The 16,524-nt window shown below is 36.5% G+C and overlaps 2 protein-coding genes across 41 annotated transcripts in view, besides 4 other annotated features; one reads left to right on the forward strand and one right to left on the reverse strand.

The window, feature by feature from the left end:
- Positions 1 to 3,142, reverse strand: part of KIAA0825 — a 467,754-nt gene extending 464,612 nt beyond the window's left edge. For 30 of the 32 annotated variants that reach the window (XR_948246.3, NR_169751.1, NR_169752.1 and 27 more), the window contains exon 1: positions 3,038 to 3,142. The gene's annotated coding sequence lies outside the window, so the exon portion shown is untranslated. Of the gene's footprint in view, positions 1 to 2,429; positions 2,664 to 3,037 lie in introns of those variants that run through there. The other 2 variants (NM_001385717.1, NM_001385730.1) reach the window with 1 other exon arrangement.
- Positions 2,156 to 3,020: an enhancer, noted in NCBI's record as "H3K27ac hESC enhancer chr5:93953323-93954187 (GRCh37/hg19 assembly coordinates)". NCBI's record gives its function as "activates a minimal SCP1, AML or CMV promoter by ChIP-STARR-seq in primed H9 embryonic stem cells {active_cell/tissue: H9 hESC(primed)}" and the evidence as "EXISTENCE:reporter gene assay evidence [ECO:0000049][PMID:30033119]".
- Positions 2,759 to 2,938: an enhancer, noted in NCBI's record as "active region_22790". NCBI's record gives its function as "activates an Ori minimal core promoter by ATAC-STARR-seq in GM12878 lymphoblastoid cells {active_cell/tissue: GM12878}" and the evidence as "EXISTENCE:reporter gene assay evidence [ECO:0000049][PMID:35858748]".
- The window catches only part of SLF1 (SMC5/6 complex localization factor 1), a 79,391-nt gene continuing 65,635 nt past the window's right edge, over positions 2,769 to 16,524 (forward strand). For 6 of the 9 annotated variants that reach the window (NM_032290.4, XM_017009981.3, XM_024446235.2 and 3 more), the window contains exons 1-4: positions 3,207 to 3,303; positions 13,349 to 13,462; positions 13,630 to 13,705; positions 15,041 to 15,281. In NM_032290.4, the coding sequence (NP_115666.2) occupies positions 13,349 to 13,462; positions 13,630 to 13,705; positions 15,041 to 15,281 (431 nt within the window). In that variant the 5' untranslated portion in view covers positions 3,207 to 3,303. Of the gene's footprint in view, positions 2,857 to 3,206; positions 3,304 to 13,348; positions 13,463 to 13,629; positions 13,706 to 15,040; positions 15,282 to 16,524 lie in introns of those variants that run through there. The other 3 variants (XM_017009979.3, XM_047417830.1, XM_047417831.1) reach the window with 1 other exon arrangement.
- Positions 3,249 to 3,428: an enhancer, noted in NCBI's record as "active region_22791". NCBI's record gives its function as "activates an Ori minimal core promoter by ATAC-STARR-seq in GM12878 lymphoblastoid cells {active_cell/tissue: GM12878}" and the evidence as "EXISTENCE:reporter gene assay evidence [ECO:0000049][PMID:35858748]".
- Positions 3,819 to 3,928: an enhancer, noted in NCBI's record as "active region_22792". NCBI's record gives its function as "activates an Ori minimal core promoter by ATAC-STARR-seq in GM12878 lymphoblastoid cells {active_cell/tissue: GM12878}" and the evidence as "EXISTENCE:reporter gene assay evidence [ECO:0000049][PMID:35858748]".

The following is a 16,524-nucleotide window of genomic DNA, read 5'->3' on the forward strand; positions in this document are numbered from 1 at the left end:
TAATGACTATGCGTAACCTACGACAATTTACAAAGCTTATCTTTGCCTCAGTTTTAGCATCTGTAAAAGGAGGATAATAATACTTACCCACTGTGCTGTAAGGAGTAATTTAACACTGAATAGCAGAGAATAAACACAGAAAAATATTAGATATTCTCTCATCTCCTGTCTCACAGTCCAGTCTTCTTTGCAGGACAGCACATTGCCTTTTATGAATGAGTGTGGAGTGGACACTGTATTTCAGGGGCAAGGTGAGTAAAAATAAATATTTATTTATGTGGTAAATCCTTTAAAAAATGTACAAATACTTCTCGGTGGATAAATAACATTTTAAAAAGGAATCATTCATTCAATAAATGCTTATTTTTTATTTTTTAGAGACAGGGTCTTACTCTGTTGTGCAGGCTAGAGTGCAGTAGTATGATCATAGTTCACTGTGACCTATGTTTATTTATTAAAGGAAGTATAGAACATAGTAAAAAGAGCCAAAATTTAGAGGATCTGGATTCAAATCCTCTTGCCTTAGCCTCCCAAAGTATTGGGGTTACAGTCATGAGTCATGGTTCCTGACTTATTTATTGAGCTTCTATTACACGCCAGGCACAGTGCTAGATGCTGGGTTTGAGATGACGAACAAAACAGACATAATCCCAAACTTCATAAGCACTGAAATTTGATAGCAAAATATCCCTGAGATCTGCCTACGGGATCTGCCTACAAGTCAATGCAATGTAATCAAATACACATTAGTATTTCAGGCTAGCTATACCTATACAGTTGTAAAACAGGATATTCTTTAGAATTAACTTCTATGTCATTTCTAGTATTGGTCATTTCAACTAAATTTTTGTAAATTCTCTGAAAATTAGGCTATTTCTGTTTCTCTATATAGAATTGGGTATTGGGATGGGCAGGTTTAATAAAGCATATTCCTGAAACTATGTGATAATCCCCATCTGTTTGAGGGTTACGTGAGTGGAACAGCACAGTTTTGCTAATAATTCCTTATAAATCATTACAAAGTTGAATTTTATGAATTTGTGCTCATTTACTCATTCTTTCTCCCTACACACACACACACACATGCACACACAAATATACATGTATACAAATGTGTGTGTGAAAAGCTGTCTAAAGAGATAGTTAGCTGATACTCTGGACTCAGTCACCAATATGCTTGCTGATGGTCTCCAGATCTTCTGCATTTGCCCCAAGTGTTATGCTAATGTACAGTATAGGCATTTGTTTGAATTAGGATAATAAAACTGGCCAAGGATAAAGGCACTAAAGAAACTGCATTATTTAGATGTCAAAATTACCTTATGGTGATGAACACATCCCTTAAGTCCCTTTTATCCTCAAGTTTTGCTATCCACTTGATTTCTAAATGTGACATACTATCTATCCATTTTTACCTGGAGTGAAAATAATGATACTGTTATGTTTACTTATAAAGGTATAGAGCACAGTAAAAAGAGCCAAAATTTAGAGTCAGGTAGACTGGATTCAAATTTTAATTGTGCCATTTAATTGTATAATTTATGGAAAATCACAACCTCTTTGGGTCTCAGTATAAAATGTTTTGCAAAATAGAAATAATACAATTTTTGTGATTTTCTTTTTTTATTAAACATTAAATAAAATAATAAATGTAAAGTGCCTGGCAGACAGTATCTACTTGGGGTAAGTATTAATGATTGGCTACATTCAAGAGCAATTCAAAGAGAGAAATCACTGCCTCTAAAAACTAGTTGCTGTACAGATATAATACATAATATCCCTGAAGTAATTTATAATACTTTCAACTGGAGAAATAAAGAAAAAATACAAGATTCAACAAAATGTCAAGATTGGGATTAATGGGGCGATTATAAGTTTGTTGAATTATTAACCAACAAGGCCAGAAAATCAATGTGCTGTCCTAAATATGGTTTGTTGCATTACTCTCAAAAGGTTAAGAAGACACTGGCCTGGTGTTAACAGGGGCCTTGAATTGAACATATTGCATTTTTCTTTATCGGTATGCTCCGATAAAGAAAATGTTTTTATGGGTATGAGGAGCATACCCATAAAAAAAATGCAATAGTACCTACAACTCTTTCGGGAACTGACTGTTTTGAAAAAATAACAGTCAGCTGCCTTTTACGGGGGTTGGTGGGGAGGTAATTATCTAAATATAAGGTGGCAAGTGAAAACTAGTTACCTAAGAAATTGCATTACTTAAGAGAAGTCGCCAAGGTTCACTACATCACATCTTTCAAATCTTAAATGAGCACCTTTCCTCACATTATCCCTTTGTCGGAAGCAATTTCTCTTTACAACTATTCTGGCTACCTCAGACCTCCATCCAAAATTCTCCTGAATCCTTCATTATCGACAAAGCCTGGAGCAGAACGCAAGCATTCCTTTCTGAAAGCACACATACTTACTGATCACTGCTTTCCAAAAATGCATCTAATGCCCAAGCATGAAATTACAAGCTTGTTCTCTTATGTCTCAGCCATGAAAACAAAGACCGTTCTTCTCATCCAATTCAAATGGCGGGAGGAACCTTCAATTAATTCTAAATCAGGAAGGAACCTCCCCATCTCACTTCCTAAATGTTTGTAAAAGATGTCTTCTTCAGCCAACCTCCTGCCTTCCAGGCACGGCACCCCAGAACTACGGAAACAGTACTCAGGAATCAAGAGTGGCCAAACGCTGCCAATGGGAGATAGGAAACTCGTTGATCATTGGTAGAGAAACTCGGCACAACGCCGAGTCACGGTACACGGTGTCTTCGGCCTCGCCCAGGGACACTTGGTGACCCGAGGTCGAGTTCCAAGTCGGAGACAGATTTTGCGAGTGGATAAGACGGTAAGCCGGGATCCCAGGGCCTTCTCCAGCTGCACTGGGTGTCAAGCGCCACGGGGTTTGATGGGGACTCCTTCTGGTTCCACCCTCGCCCACTCACTTCTCGGGCTGGCCATAATGCTGCACAGAGCCCCGGCCAGCCATTAATATCAGGCGCAGGAGAAAACCCAGTAAAATCACTTACCAGTCTTCCACCTCCGGTGCTGATCTAGCAAGAGCCTGACCCGCTGGCCAGACTCAAGCTCTGCACCAGGTATTACCACCCTGGCGACGGCTCCGGAGCGTCACTGACAACCACCCGGAAATGGTACTATCGCTTCCGGGGCTGCCTAGCGCGCGGCGGGAAATTGTTTCCCAGAGCCCGGATTCGTGAAGCAGTTGAGTGCTGCAGCGGCAGTCGTCGCCCCTGCCGCCGCTGCCACCGAAGGAAGCATCCCAGACACCGGGAAGGTAAAGGGGCTCAGCTAGGAAGACACAGTGTATTCTGTCTCTGTGGGGATGTTTCTTCGCCGGGCGGTACCTCCGAAGTTTCTGCCTCCCGGCTGTGAGGCTAGGAAGGAAGCGGCTGGGGTGAGCGGCAGCGGTGTCTGGCTCTCGCGCTTTCTCCAGCTGCAGTTCGTTCCAGCTCTCCCGACTTCGCGCTCGGCGCCGGAGTTGGTGGGCTGCAGCTGCAGACCCCGCGACGCTTCGCCCGTGCCGCTGCGGGGACTGCCACCGAGCGCCCCTCTGCAGTACTGGGCTGAGCCACTTCCCCCGCTTCTGCTTGCGCAGCTCTGCCGCTCGGCCCGCCGCCTGGAAGGCGCTAGGCCCCCCGCGTCTCTCGTTTCCATAGAACCCATGGGGACGCCTCATCCTGATACCAGAATTTTGGCTGCTTTCCATAACTTAGCGTCTGCGAAGGTGGCTGGGATACCCCAGGCCCACTTTCCTGTGACGAAGAAAATTGTGTCATTCTTTCCTCTCTAGTAGAATTTTTTTTTTTTAAACTGCTAAAACGGCAGTGATCCTATCTCTGACTGCTATAGGCCTTTAAACACAAACATACACACATACACTTTTCGCTGAAGGGAGGGTCTGTGTTCCTGGGGTTTATATTTCAGCTGCCTGAAGGCTGGAAACAAGACTGAGTGGCTATTTTAAGATTTCTTCCACTTCCAAAGCCTCAGATTAAATATTGACAAAAAAAAAATTGGTCCGTCTCGGGTACTTCATATCATTATTTGACTCAGGAGTTAGATGGAGCTTGATTTTGGAGGCGCCAGCCTCTTTTTTGACGAATGACTTTATTAAAAAATTTTGTTGTTGTTGTTGAAATATTGGGAATGAACATTTGAACTGAATTTACAATGTATGTGTGACAGACAATGCACCTTGTGGACTTTTTGGTTTATGTTATTCCGTTGTGCCTCAATTCTTGGAAATACCTGTGGATGTGCAAGATGTTCTCATTATTGGAAAGTTTGATTACGTATATTGCAGGTGTTCAATACCTAAGTTGCTAGTATGAGGTGAATTTATATTAAAGAGTATATTTCTTTATTTTCTTTTCTTACCTTTCCTTCCTTCCTTTGCTTTCTTTCTTTCTTTGACAGAGCCTTGCTCTGTTGCCCAGGCTGGAGTGCAGTGCCTATCGGCTCACTGCAACCTCCGGCTCCCAGGTTCAAGCAATTCTCCTATCTCAGCCTCCCGAGTAGCTGGGATTACAGGTGCGCGACACCACGCCCGACTAATGTTTTGTATTTTTAATAGAGACAGGGTTTCACCATGCTGTCCAGGCTGGTCTCGAACTCCTGATCTCAAGTGTTCCGCTCGCCTCGGCCTCCCAAAGTGCTGGGATTACAGGCGTGAGCCACCGGGTAACTCTTGAGTATTCTTAATTTAAAGGAACTAGGATGTTCAAATACTTGAATGTTTAAGTCAATTTTATTGTAAAGACAGCGAACCTTCAGTACTGCAAATAAACCCCTATTCTGTTTTCTAAATCCAGATTTTATTATGCGTTATTAAGTAAAATTGAATTATATAACCTAACATTTTCTTGCTTCCCTAAAGCATAAAGCGTGGATCACGTGAAAGTCATTGAAAAGATGATCAAATGTGGTTACTTTTCATAATCAAAATTCAGAACTGAAGATTTCGTAATAAGCATCCACATTTTCCACTGATGTTCAAAAACATTGCGTTTTGGGAAACCAATAGTATAGCTTTTATTTATTAGTACTTTCCTTATTATATGTATCTTGATTATATTACCCTAAAGTAGGGTTTTCACCATTTAAATAAAACTTTTTTAGAAAGTAAAATAAAAAATTCTGTGTTGGCTTTGAATAATAAACCCTAAACAAAACGAATTCTCTCAAGAATGTAACTAAAATGAGACATCATCTGTTACTCTTGTAGTTGACTCTTTGAATATACTAATAGAAAATATATCTGTATAATGTACTATGTACTGTTTTTCACCTTATAAGGGCATGTTACTGCTTAAAAGTAAAATAACCCTGGAACTTTTAAGTTCACTTAATTCATACTTTCTATCAAAATTACTTTGAAATTTAAAATACACTGTCTGGTTATTTTTGAGGAGGAAGAAAGACTTTCTCATATGAATCACTCTAATGATTGATACCAAATCACTTTTGAGAGGAAAATAATGAAAACTTTGTTTCTCATTAGACAAAAAGAGCACTCTTTAGATTGTTTCTAGAAATGCTTTGAAATTTTAGGCACTGTTATTTTACTGAAAATAATTTATAATTATGTTTAAATTTTTTCAGTGATATTGCTGTTCTAAATGTCTTCCCACCCTTGTACTGTTCTTTCACTTAATGTATCTTTCTTTTGTGTTAGCTGAAAGTAGATTGCTTTATGAAATTATAATGTGGTTAAAAGTATTAGACTAAGTTCTGCAATTTAATTCACCTTGGTATTGTAGAAAAGGCATACAGTTTTTGCAGAAAGACTTATATGTGCATCTTGTTTTTACCATTTACTAGCTGTGTACCCTTGAAGTAGTTTCTTAATCACTCCGATTTCCCAGTATCCTCATCTGCACAAGAAAAATAAATAGCACTTATGTTGTGAAGAAGGAAATGAGCTAACATATATACTGTGGTATAAACCACAGTAGGTCCTCCATAAAAATTAAATCCTGCTTGTTCAACCTTAGACGTATGGTCTTCCTTCTAAGTAAACCAAATTTCCTAGGATACCAAAGCACATTTGACTTCTATGGCTAACCGATATCTACTGTCCACCTATTCTTTTTCTGAACCTTTCCTCTCTTGACCAACTTGCTTCCTTAAGGACTCCTTCATCCCGAAATTAACATCTGCCCAGCCTGTGCCTTGTACAGTACTGGATAGATTGGACATCTCCGTATGTCCTCCTAAGCTTCTCATTTTTTTCTCACCATATTCACTTTGGGGCTTGTTCTGTTTCTTCCTTCTAGCGCTAAATTTGTCATCAGAGGGACTAATTACTGCTTCTTTCCCAAATAATGCTATGGAAGTAAGAACAGCCCTCAAGTCTCATCACTGGATGCTTCTGTCAAATAATTAATATTTATACACACACACACACACACACACATACACACGTGCGTGTGCATCTCTCCTATCTTTGAAGGATGGGGCAGGAAATAGACACTGTGTCTTTAAAAAAAAAAGTCTGAAGGCCAGCTGAATGATATTAAACCAAGGGCCTAATTTGGCTCCTAGGCCTAAAGGGGCCAGAATTTCTAAACGCCACTTGTAGTTAAACGTCAAACAGTATTTTATACACACAGTATAAGTACTGTGACATGTGTCTACCTTTTGCAATATTGGTTCAAACAGAGATCCAACACTTGGACCCTTTTCAGTTTTAACAGTTATTTGTTTACTTTCCCAGTTAAATGTTTTGAATAAGAGAAATGAAAATTTTTCAGACTGTTTAATTCAGAGCAGAAATCTTGACTGCATTCAGTGCTTGGTATATGCTTTTCAGATGAGGGGAGTTTCAAATAATTTTCCTTAGTTTGCTGTAAAAGTAGGTTTAAAATCAAAAGAATTCACCAAAATAACAAACACTGAGAAACCACTAGTTTTCATCATGACCTTAAAACCATGAAGAGTATTAAGTGGCATGGAAAAATGATCACAATATAACATTACATAAAAATGAAGATATGAAACAATGTAATATCCAAATTTTGTTATATATATTTTTTACACTCAGATAAAACCTAAAAGTCAACATCCCTCCCCAGTGTTAACAATGGTATTACAGGCTGAAGGGATTAGAGATGATTTTAATCTTTCTATATACTTTGTAATATTTTTCAAATTTTCTATAATAAGTGCATGTTAAAATTGAAAGACAAGTCTGTAAAGGTTATTTTGGGGGGAAAACTTTAGTTCTTAAATATAAATATATAAATCAAAGTTTTTTTATTAAGTCTTAAATATTTATTTTAGCTAATGATACCATACAATTTATTTCTAAGATTACTTCTCTTTTATGGGTAGGGCTGGTTATAAAAGAAACCAGCCCTATATAATGTAGAGTAGGGAAAAGTTTATCCTTATTTTCCTTACAAAACCCCATTTATGCATCCCTGTCTCTCATTTTTGTAGCACCTTCCGCTTTTTCCCAAGGGTTGTACCCTGCTCTTTCATCTTGCCTCTCAAACCAGACTTTTGTATTCATATCTGTATTCCTGTCTTTCCTTGTCTCTGAGCTCAATTTTCAACATGTTCTTCAAACATGTTCTAGCTATGTGTTACATTATAAAGAATTCAAAGAACCTAAAAAGCTAGTTTATAATAAATAGTGTTCTTAATTAAGATGAAGAGTTCTATAAGTTTTCTTTGCATTTTGGACTGGCACCAACTACAAAGGAATTTCAGGCATCAAGAATAGGCCCATGTGGGAGATATTTTGGGAAACTCCATACCACAGAGACAGTTGCTTGCTATGCATAAAGGCCAACTCTGTTTATAGTCATTGTCTCCTTAGTTGTATTTTATTGTTCAAGGTAAGTAACTAATTTTTGTTAATTATAGATAAGATTTTAATAATTACTACAAAAGGACATTTTCTCATAACCAAGAATGTCATATAATTTTAATTTTTTTGACAGTAAAAATAAAACTTAACTGTCAGAAGTCATGCTCTCTTTTTTGCTTTTTTTTTCCCTCCTTTTTTTTGGTGTTAAGATAGTATCTTCTGTATGAATGCTCCAAGGAACACCCCCTATTAGTTCTAGAAAGATCTATAATTTTTCTAAAAATAACCACTGGTACAATTATATTATGGTATATTTACTTTCCTTCTTGTGCTGCAAGACTTCTAGAAGTTAGCTCTTGATCCTCCCTACCTCAGACATATCACTTACACTAAACTTGACTGTACTTTAAAGGATTTTTAATTGTCTGGGTTATTGATATATGTTAAACCAATTATAGTGCTCTTTTTGGCCTCATTAACATATCAGGTTTATTGTATTCTTAATCCTGCAGGGTCAGAAAGAACCATCAAACCATGAATTTTATAAATAAATCAATCAGTATATCTATACATGTTTATATCTATTCCTACATATATAGTTTTCCTGTGTAACTGCATGAATTAGATCCTGTAATACAGGTCATTCACTTGTCATATCATGTGCTGTAAAAAAGCATTGCTAAATGTATTATAAACTGTTGTTTCAAGTAGATAATTTTATTCTAGAAAACTGTTACAAAACTGTGCTAGTTATTTTGGGCCGTCACTGGGATTCCTGATTCTGTTAAAGTTTAGCTAGTAGCTCAGTTTTTCTGATAAATTTGTGACTAGAATGTCCTGTATTCTGATTTGTCTTTAAACATATCCATATTTTATGGATAATGTTTGAATCAGGACATTCTGTTTTTTCACCTTTGTTTCCTACTTCCCTTTCCTCCGCATGTTTAACTTCAGTTTCATATTTAATCATTTTCAAAGGAAATAAATTGCTTTAAAAGGCTTTCCTGATTTCTGCTATTATGCAGTTAGTCCTATTTTCATTTTACTATGGGCTCTTGCTTTGACAGAAAATGCTGTTAAATATACAAAGTGGGTCATTTCCATCATATTTATTTTATTATAAAGACCATATGGTTTAAGATGAAAACTGCTTTACACACTAACTCCAGTAAATCCAAATAATTTAATAATTTATACATGAAACCAAAATACATTAAAATGTTACCTTATTAATAATCAAATTGTAAAATAGCTATTAACATGATCTGGAAACAGCAACATAGTATATGTTTATTTCTGTATAACTTGTTTAATTCTGAGGAAGCAGAATAATAAAATTTAAAGGACAAGCTTTAAATGAAACTTTTGGGTAACAGTGTTATAACAATTTTTTTATTATTTTTTGTATATTCCGATTATTTAACATTAGTTTTTATACGTCAATTTTTAGAATAGGCAAGATTTTAGACTTTTTAAAACCACCCAGACTTCTTTGGCAATATTCCTGAAATAGCCATTAAATAGACCTTGAAACTCTAAAATACATTAAAAATATACAAGTAGTAGGAAAAGCATATGTGTTTAAAACTCTTGTATTCCTCGGCTGGGTGGGTGGCTCATGCCTGTAATCCCAGCGCTTTGGGAGGCCGAGGCAGGCGGATCACAAGGTCAGGAGATCGAGACCATCCTAGATAACACAGTGAAACCCCATTTCTACTAAAAAGACAAAAAATAAAAAAATTAGCCAGGCTGGTGGTGGGTGCCTGTAGTCCCAGCTACTCAGGAGGCTGAGGCAGGAGAATGGCGTGAACCCGGGAGGCGGAGCTTGCAGTGAGCTGAGATTGTGCCACTGTACTCCAGCCTGGGCGACAGAGCGAGACTCCGTCTCAAAAAAAAAAAAAAAAATATTAAACAATAAAAAACTCTTGTATTCTACTGATAACAGTGGTTTTTGATAAAACCAATTAGATAAAAACAAGTATTGATTGAATACCAAGATGATATTCACAGATATATTGGATTTCACTTGTCCAGCATTTCTAAAAAGACCTATCATTTTCTTTTTATTTTTTAATTTTATTTATTTATTTATTTTTTGAGACAGAGTCTCGCTCTGTCACCCAGGCTGGAGTGCAATGGTGTGGTCTCGGCTCACTGCAACCTCCGCCTCCTGGGTTCAAGCAATTCTTCTGCCTCAGCCTCCCGAGTAGCTGAGATTACAGGCACCTGCCACCACACCTGGCTAATTTTTGTATTTTAGTAGAGATGGGGTTTCACCATGTTGGCCAGGCTGGTCTCGAACTCCTGACCTCAGGTGATCCACCCACCTTGGCTTACCAAAGTGCTGGGATTACAGGCGTGAGCCACCATGCCCGGCCAAGACCTATCATTTTCTAAAGGAAATTTGCTTAAAGGATTTAAAGAAATAATTCCCTAGAAATAATGAAAGCATTTCTCCCTAGTTGTGGACATATGTTTTATAATCCAAATGTGGCTTTTTTGTGTGTGTTCATATGTGTTCTGCATCAGACTAAATCATTATTATTTCTAACAACAGCATATTCTTCATAGTTTTTATGTATTGCTGGTCCATATTGTTAATGGTTATTAACATTCAAGAGCTACATTAATTAACCCATGTAAATGGTTTTAAAAAATTGTATGATTAGGTCGGGCGCGGTGGCTCACGCTTGTAATCCCAGCACTTGGGAGGCCGAGGCAGGCAGATCACAAGGTCAGGAGATCGAGACCGTCCTGGCTAACACGGTGAAACCCTGTCTCTACTAAAAATACAAAAAAAAAGCCAGGCCTGGTGGCGGGCGCCTGTAGTCCCAGCTACTCAGGAGGCTGAGGCCGGAGAATGGCGTGAACCCAGGAGGCGGAACTTGCACTGAGCCGAGATCACGCCATTGCACTCCAGCCTGGGCGACAGAGTGAGACTCCATCTCAAAAAAAAAAAAAAAAAAGTAATTGGATGATTAATACAGTAAAGGGTTCCTTATACAAGAAGCTTGATTTATTTACTGATGATAGTGTTTCGTGTATATGATTAATTTTTCATAAGAGACCAATCCCTATTATGTGCACTTAAAAATTTTATACTGACTAGACCAAATCCCTGTAACTTTTTTTAAAAAGCATTTATTTCATTGGAGAGCCTTATCTTTAAGGCACTTTCTTATGTTCTGTATCTGAGTTTTAGAGGGTTAAAATACATTGTACCTCTTTGCCCCTTTTGCAGCCAGTTGAGAAATGCAAAAATCAGATAAATTGAGGTTGAAATACCAGCTTTTTTATTGAGTAAACATTGTTTTGAAGGAGATGATGGTTTTTGTTTTGGTTTGTTTTTTCTGCATCCTTCTGCAAGAAGGAGATAGTTTTGATATGGAACCATAGTGTGCTTCTTAGTACATAACCTCCGAATTGACTTACCCACACAGGCAGTGCAGGACTACTACTGGCAGCTCCTTAGGATGTGTCAGAAAGCATTGATATGGACCTTCTTTGCAAATATGCAGATACACTGAGCAAAGCACATCCATTTAGTTGTCTCAAGGAGCTTCTCCAACGAAATGGGGAGTGATGAAGGGTAGAGAAAAACCAAGAGTGCAGTTACCCTAGCTGAACTTCTCCTCTTCAAAACTATAAGCAAGGAAATAAAAGTTCACTTCTGAGTAATGCTTTAGATTATATTGAGACTTTCTTTCAATTTTTACTCTTAAATGAATCTCAACCTTTAAATAAATGTATATATATTACATTTACATGTCTTTAAAAATAGACTCTCTGTGAAGAACATTTCTCACTTCACCAGTTGCGTGCTATTAGTCCTGGGCTCAAATCGTCACAGTTTTTAAAGTTTACTTGTAATTGTATTGAAAGAAGTCATTGTTTCTTTAATTATTGAAAACAGCTACTGTTGTTATTCTAGCTATGACATTAGTTAAATATTAATAACCCACAGTTATGGTGACAAAATTGTTAGAAAAATGAAAAATTGCCCTAATTTCTCTAGTCCCTGCTTTGCTTGTCTGTGGAAAGATTGAGATTTTTCTCTAATACGCTGTCTAGTTCTCCAGTTCAACTTCATGTAAACAAACAGAATTGTATTCTGATGAGAAATTCTGTGAGTTATGTACTCCCTAAACACAAAGTACTTTTTGTGAACTACATTAAAATATGGATTAAGGTCCCTATGAAAATAAACTTAGATTTTTTTTAAAAAGTGATTTTTTCCAAAAAGTGATTTTTTCAGTCTACCTTGTAAATGATGAAATTAACATATATATATATATATATATATATATATATATATAGCAAAGTTAAGAAATATGGATTGCAAATAGGATCTAGGATTATTATGTGTACCCACTTTACTAAATGCTGTGAGACCATGAGTTCTATTAACTTCTCCAGTAACGTATACATATTTAATATGTGTCCACAGAGACTTTAAAGTCTCTGTGGAGTATAAAATCTGATTGTATCATTGTCTGTAGGTTTCAAAAGCTCTTAGCGAACAACAGTACTTTTTTTTTTTTTGAGACGGAGTTTCACTCTTGTTGCCCAGGCTGGAGTGCAATCGCGTGATCTCGCCTCATGGCAACCTCTGCCTCCCGGGTTCAAGCGATTTTCCTGCCTCAGCCTCCCGAGTAGCTGGGATTACAGACGTGCCGCCACGCTGGGCTAATTTTGTATTTTTAATGGAGACAGGGTTTCACCATGTTGGTCAGGCTGGTCTCGAACTCCTGACCTCAGGTAATCTGCCCGCCTCGGCCTCCCAAAGAAAGTGCTGGGATTACAGGCGTGAGCCACCGCTCCTGGCCAACAATACTTTCTTTATTTGTTTATTTATTTTTGAGATGGAGTCTTGCTCTGTCACCCAGGCTGGAGTGCAGTGGCATGATCTTGGCTCACTGCAACCACTGCGTCCAGGGTTCAAGCAATTCTCCTGTCTCAGCCTCCTGAGTATTACAGGCACCTGCCACCACACCTGGCTAATTTTTATATTTTTAGTAGAGGCAGGGTTTCACCATGTTGGCCAGGCTGGTCTAGATTTCCTGACCTCGTGATCCGCCGGCCTCGGCCTCCCAAAGTGCTGGGATTACAGGCGTGAGCCACTGCACCCAGCCCAACAATACTTTTTAAATGAAGCTTGTATAACATTATTATGCCAGTATTTGTATAACATTCTATCATTTTCTGAAGAAGTATATTTATTCATCAATGTGTTTTAGTGTCAAGTAATGTATTAATCCAGACTTTCAATGTTCAAATCAGAAAGAAAACCCTCACTTAAGGCCACATTTTGAGAAGATAACTTTTAAAACTAGTTTCTATCGTATATAAGTAATTTTAATATTGTTTTAACAGCTGTGCCTAACATCTTTAATTCATTGTATGTTTAATAGTTTATTTTTAGTACTCATAGTTAAGAAAAAATAATGTCAACCCTGTGAATAATATCTTTAACACACATTATCTTCTGTATGTTTGTATTTGTTAGATGGAAGATGGTACCCCAAAGCATATCATCCAGATGACAGGATTTAAGATGGAAGAAAAAGAAGCGCTAGTCAAATTACTTTTAAAACTAGATTGCACTTTTATTAAGAGTGAGGTAAGAAACTTATCAAAATGTTCAAGATATATTTGAAAAATAACTACAATTCAAATACTGGCCTAAGAATGATAAAATGCCTTCTTGATATTGTAGCAATAAAAAGGATGTGTCATAAAGGGAGTCTTACTTTAGTAACATTTCTTGATGTGGATTTTTCCCTCCAGAAATACAAAAATTGTACACATCTTATAGCTGAACGCCTATGTAAGAGTGAAAAATTTTTAGCAGCTTGTGCGGCAGGTAAGTTAACTGTCTTCCCCCAACTTTTAAAAACAATCTTCGTGTTAAAGCAAAAGTATTTTAGTCTCTGGAGAGATAGCATATTTACATATCAAACCTAAATGTGTTTTTCTGATATTTTTTGAAAATATTTAATATATTTTTTGGCTTATTACTCTTCTAAGTAAAATTTTGTAACACATGAAAAATGTATTAAATAGGCAGAAATATTTACCTCAACAAGGATTTAGTGTGTTTTGTTTAAGACAAAAAAAAAATACATTAATGAAAAGACTGGCACAAAATGTCAAAATCTTAAGCTTTTGTTAAAGTCTCAGCTGTTTTCAGTCAAGTTTTCTTTGATCTGTCATTTGATACAGGCAGTGCTTTTGTTCTCTCTGCTGCTTCTATCCATATTATGAAGCAATGGTCATACTATTTTATTTTTCTAAGATATTAAATACTATAGACCCAAATTAAGACTTAGTCTTCTCCTCTATCGTTTTGTATTTTATAGCTTTCTCTGCTGTGATTGATCTGACATATCATTAGTCTACTGATTGCAAAAAAAGAAGCATATGTAACTTGGGTGAATTTATCCTTTTTGGATTAACTTACAAGGAAAACACTTGCATTCGTTTTTAACTTTACAAATGAAAACATACATTGTCCATAATGTTCAAAAAGATCATTGATGCCCAGATAAAGAAACTGTTGGTCGGGTGTGGAGGCTCATGCCTGTAATCCTAGCACTTTGGGAGGCCAAGGCAAAAGGATCACTTGTGCCAAGGAGTTTAAGACCAGCCTGGGCAACGTAGCGAGATCTCATCTCTTAAGAAAAAAAAAAGAGTTGTTATAAAATGACCTGAAAAATTCTTTAACTCAGTAAATTTGTTTTACAGAGTAATAATGCCGTGAACAATATTGGAAAAGCTGTTAGCATAGGAGGAAGAATATAAATCTAACCCAAAATAGTGAATAATGATAGTAATAATAATTCCAGTAATACCACATTTTATTTTGGATTTTAAAGCTTTAGATTTATGTTTAGAATTATAAAATTGTAATTTAGAATTATATTTAAATGAAACTGTAATTATAACTAAGTTATAGCTATGGAATTATATTTAGAATTATAATTATTTGTCATGGAAAAGATTACATACAATGTTCAGTGATATTGTAAGCCTCTTACTATCAGAAAATTTCCCCAAAATGCATAGTTCAAAGATAATGTTAGCAGCATAGCTTAAGAGTCTTATCTTGAAAAAGGTTGACTTTTATATTTGATCTTTATTGTTTATCATTTATCAGAACCAAAATTCCTTTGTGACTGACAGCTCATTTGCTTTCTAGGAAAGTGGATACTAACCAAGGACTATATAATTCATAGTGCCAAAAGTGGCAGATGGCTTGATGAAACAACTTATGAATGGGGATATAAAATTGAAAAAGATTCCCGTTATTCACCTCAAATGCAATCTGCACCTAAAAGATGGCGTGAAGAACTGAAACGCACTGGTGCTCCAGGAGCCTTCCACAGATGGAAAGTTGTCCTCCTTGTTAGAACTGATAAGCGAAGTGATTCTCTTATAAGGTAGGATGTGATTACATAAAAGCTAAAGCAATTAATGAGAAAATAATTTTGATTTGCATGAGTACTTTCTGTATTTTTTTGCAATTATTAGCCCAAATGAGCCATGGTGATTTACTCCAATCTCCTAGGTAAGCCATTATGCTCGTTTAGACTTATGTGTCTTTAATAGAACAAAATCTACTTTACAATATTGTTTTAGATTATTCTGGATATCTCTATTTTACTTTCCATGTTATTCCTTTTGGCCAACTCAAGCAAAACAAAAAAGGAAAACTAATTGGGAGTTTTTTGTTTCTAGTTATGAAGCACTTTTAGACTTTTGGTATTATCACAAAAGCATCATTCTGGGTTTATGTAGTGCTGTCTTCATTATTCATACTGTTTTCATCATAATTTTATTTCATTTTGTCCTTGGTATATTTTTAAAAGCTTTTTTATTGGGTAAACTGTATTCTAAGACTGCTGTTACTTTTTTTTTTATGGCAAGAGGGTGGGGAGTGTTTTTGTCTCTTAGTTAAATGTAATTTATAATCAATAACATGCACACAAATTAAGGGTATATTTTGATGAGTTTGGACAAATTGATGCACCCATGTTACCCTCACTATAATCAAGATCTGTTACATGTACATTATCCTATAATGTTCTCTTGTGTCCTTGAACATTTAGTTCTGTACCACCAACACCAGGCAACCACTAATTTCCTTTTTATCACTATAGACTAGATGTATACTTTTTAAGAGGTCCTTATGAATGGGATCATACTTAAATACTGCTTTGATATAGCTTCATTTCTCTAGTACAGTATTATTAAGATTCATCCATTTTGTGTATACCAGCAGTTCATTCCTTTTTGTTGCTGAGTAGTAGTCTACTCCATGGATATGTTACAGTCTGTTTATTCACATATTGGTAGATATTTGGGATTTTTTTGTCTTTGCTAATATAAATTGAGCTGCTATGAACATTTGGTTACAAGTATTCATGCAGACATGTTTTCAGTTCTCTTGGGAAATATCTCGGAATGAATGAATTTATACTGTTTGAGATGGCAATTATGTGTGTAACATTATAAGAAAATGCCAAACTGGCCAGGCATAGTGGCTCAGGTCTGTAATCCTAGCACTTTGAGAGGCCAAGGCAGGAGGTGATTACTTGACCCCAGAGTCTTAGATCAGCCTGGGCAACATGGCGAGATGCTGTCTCTACAAAATTTTTTTTTCTTTCTTTTTTTTTTTTTTTT

The sequence above is a fragment of the Homo sapiens genome, chromosome 5 (assembly GCF_000001405.40).
Source record: "Homo sapiens chromosome 5, GRCh38.p14 Primary Assembly".
NCBI classification, from domain to species: Eukaryota; Metazoa; Chordata; class Mammalia; order Primates; family Hominidae; genus Homo; species Homo sapiens.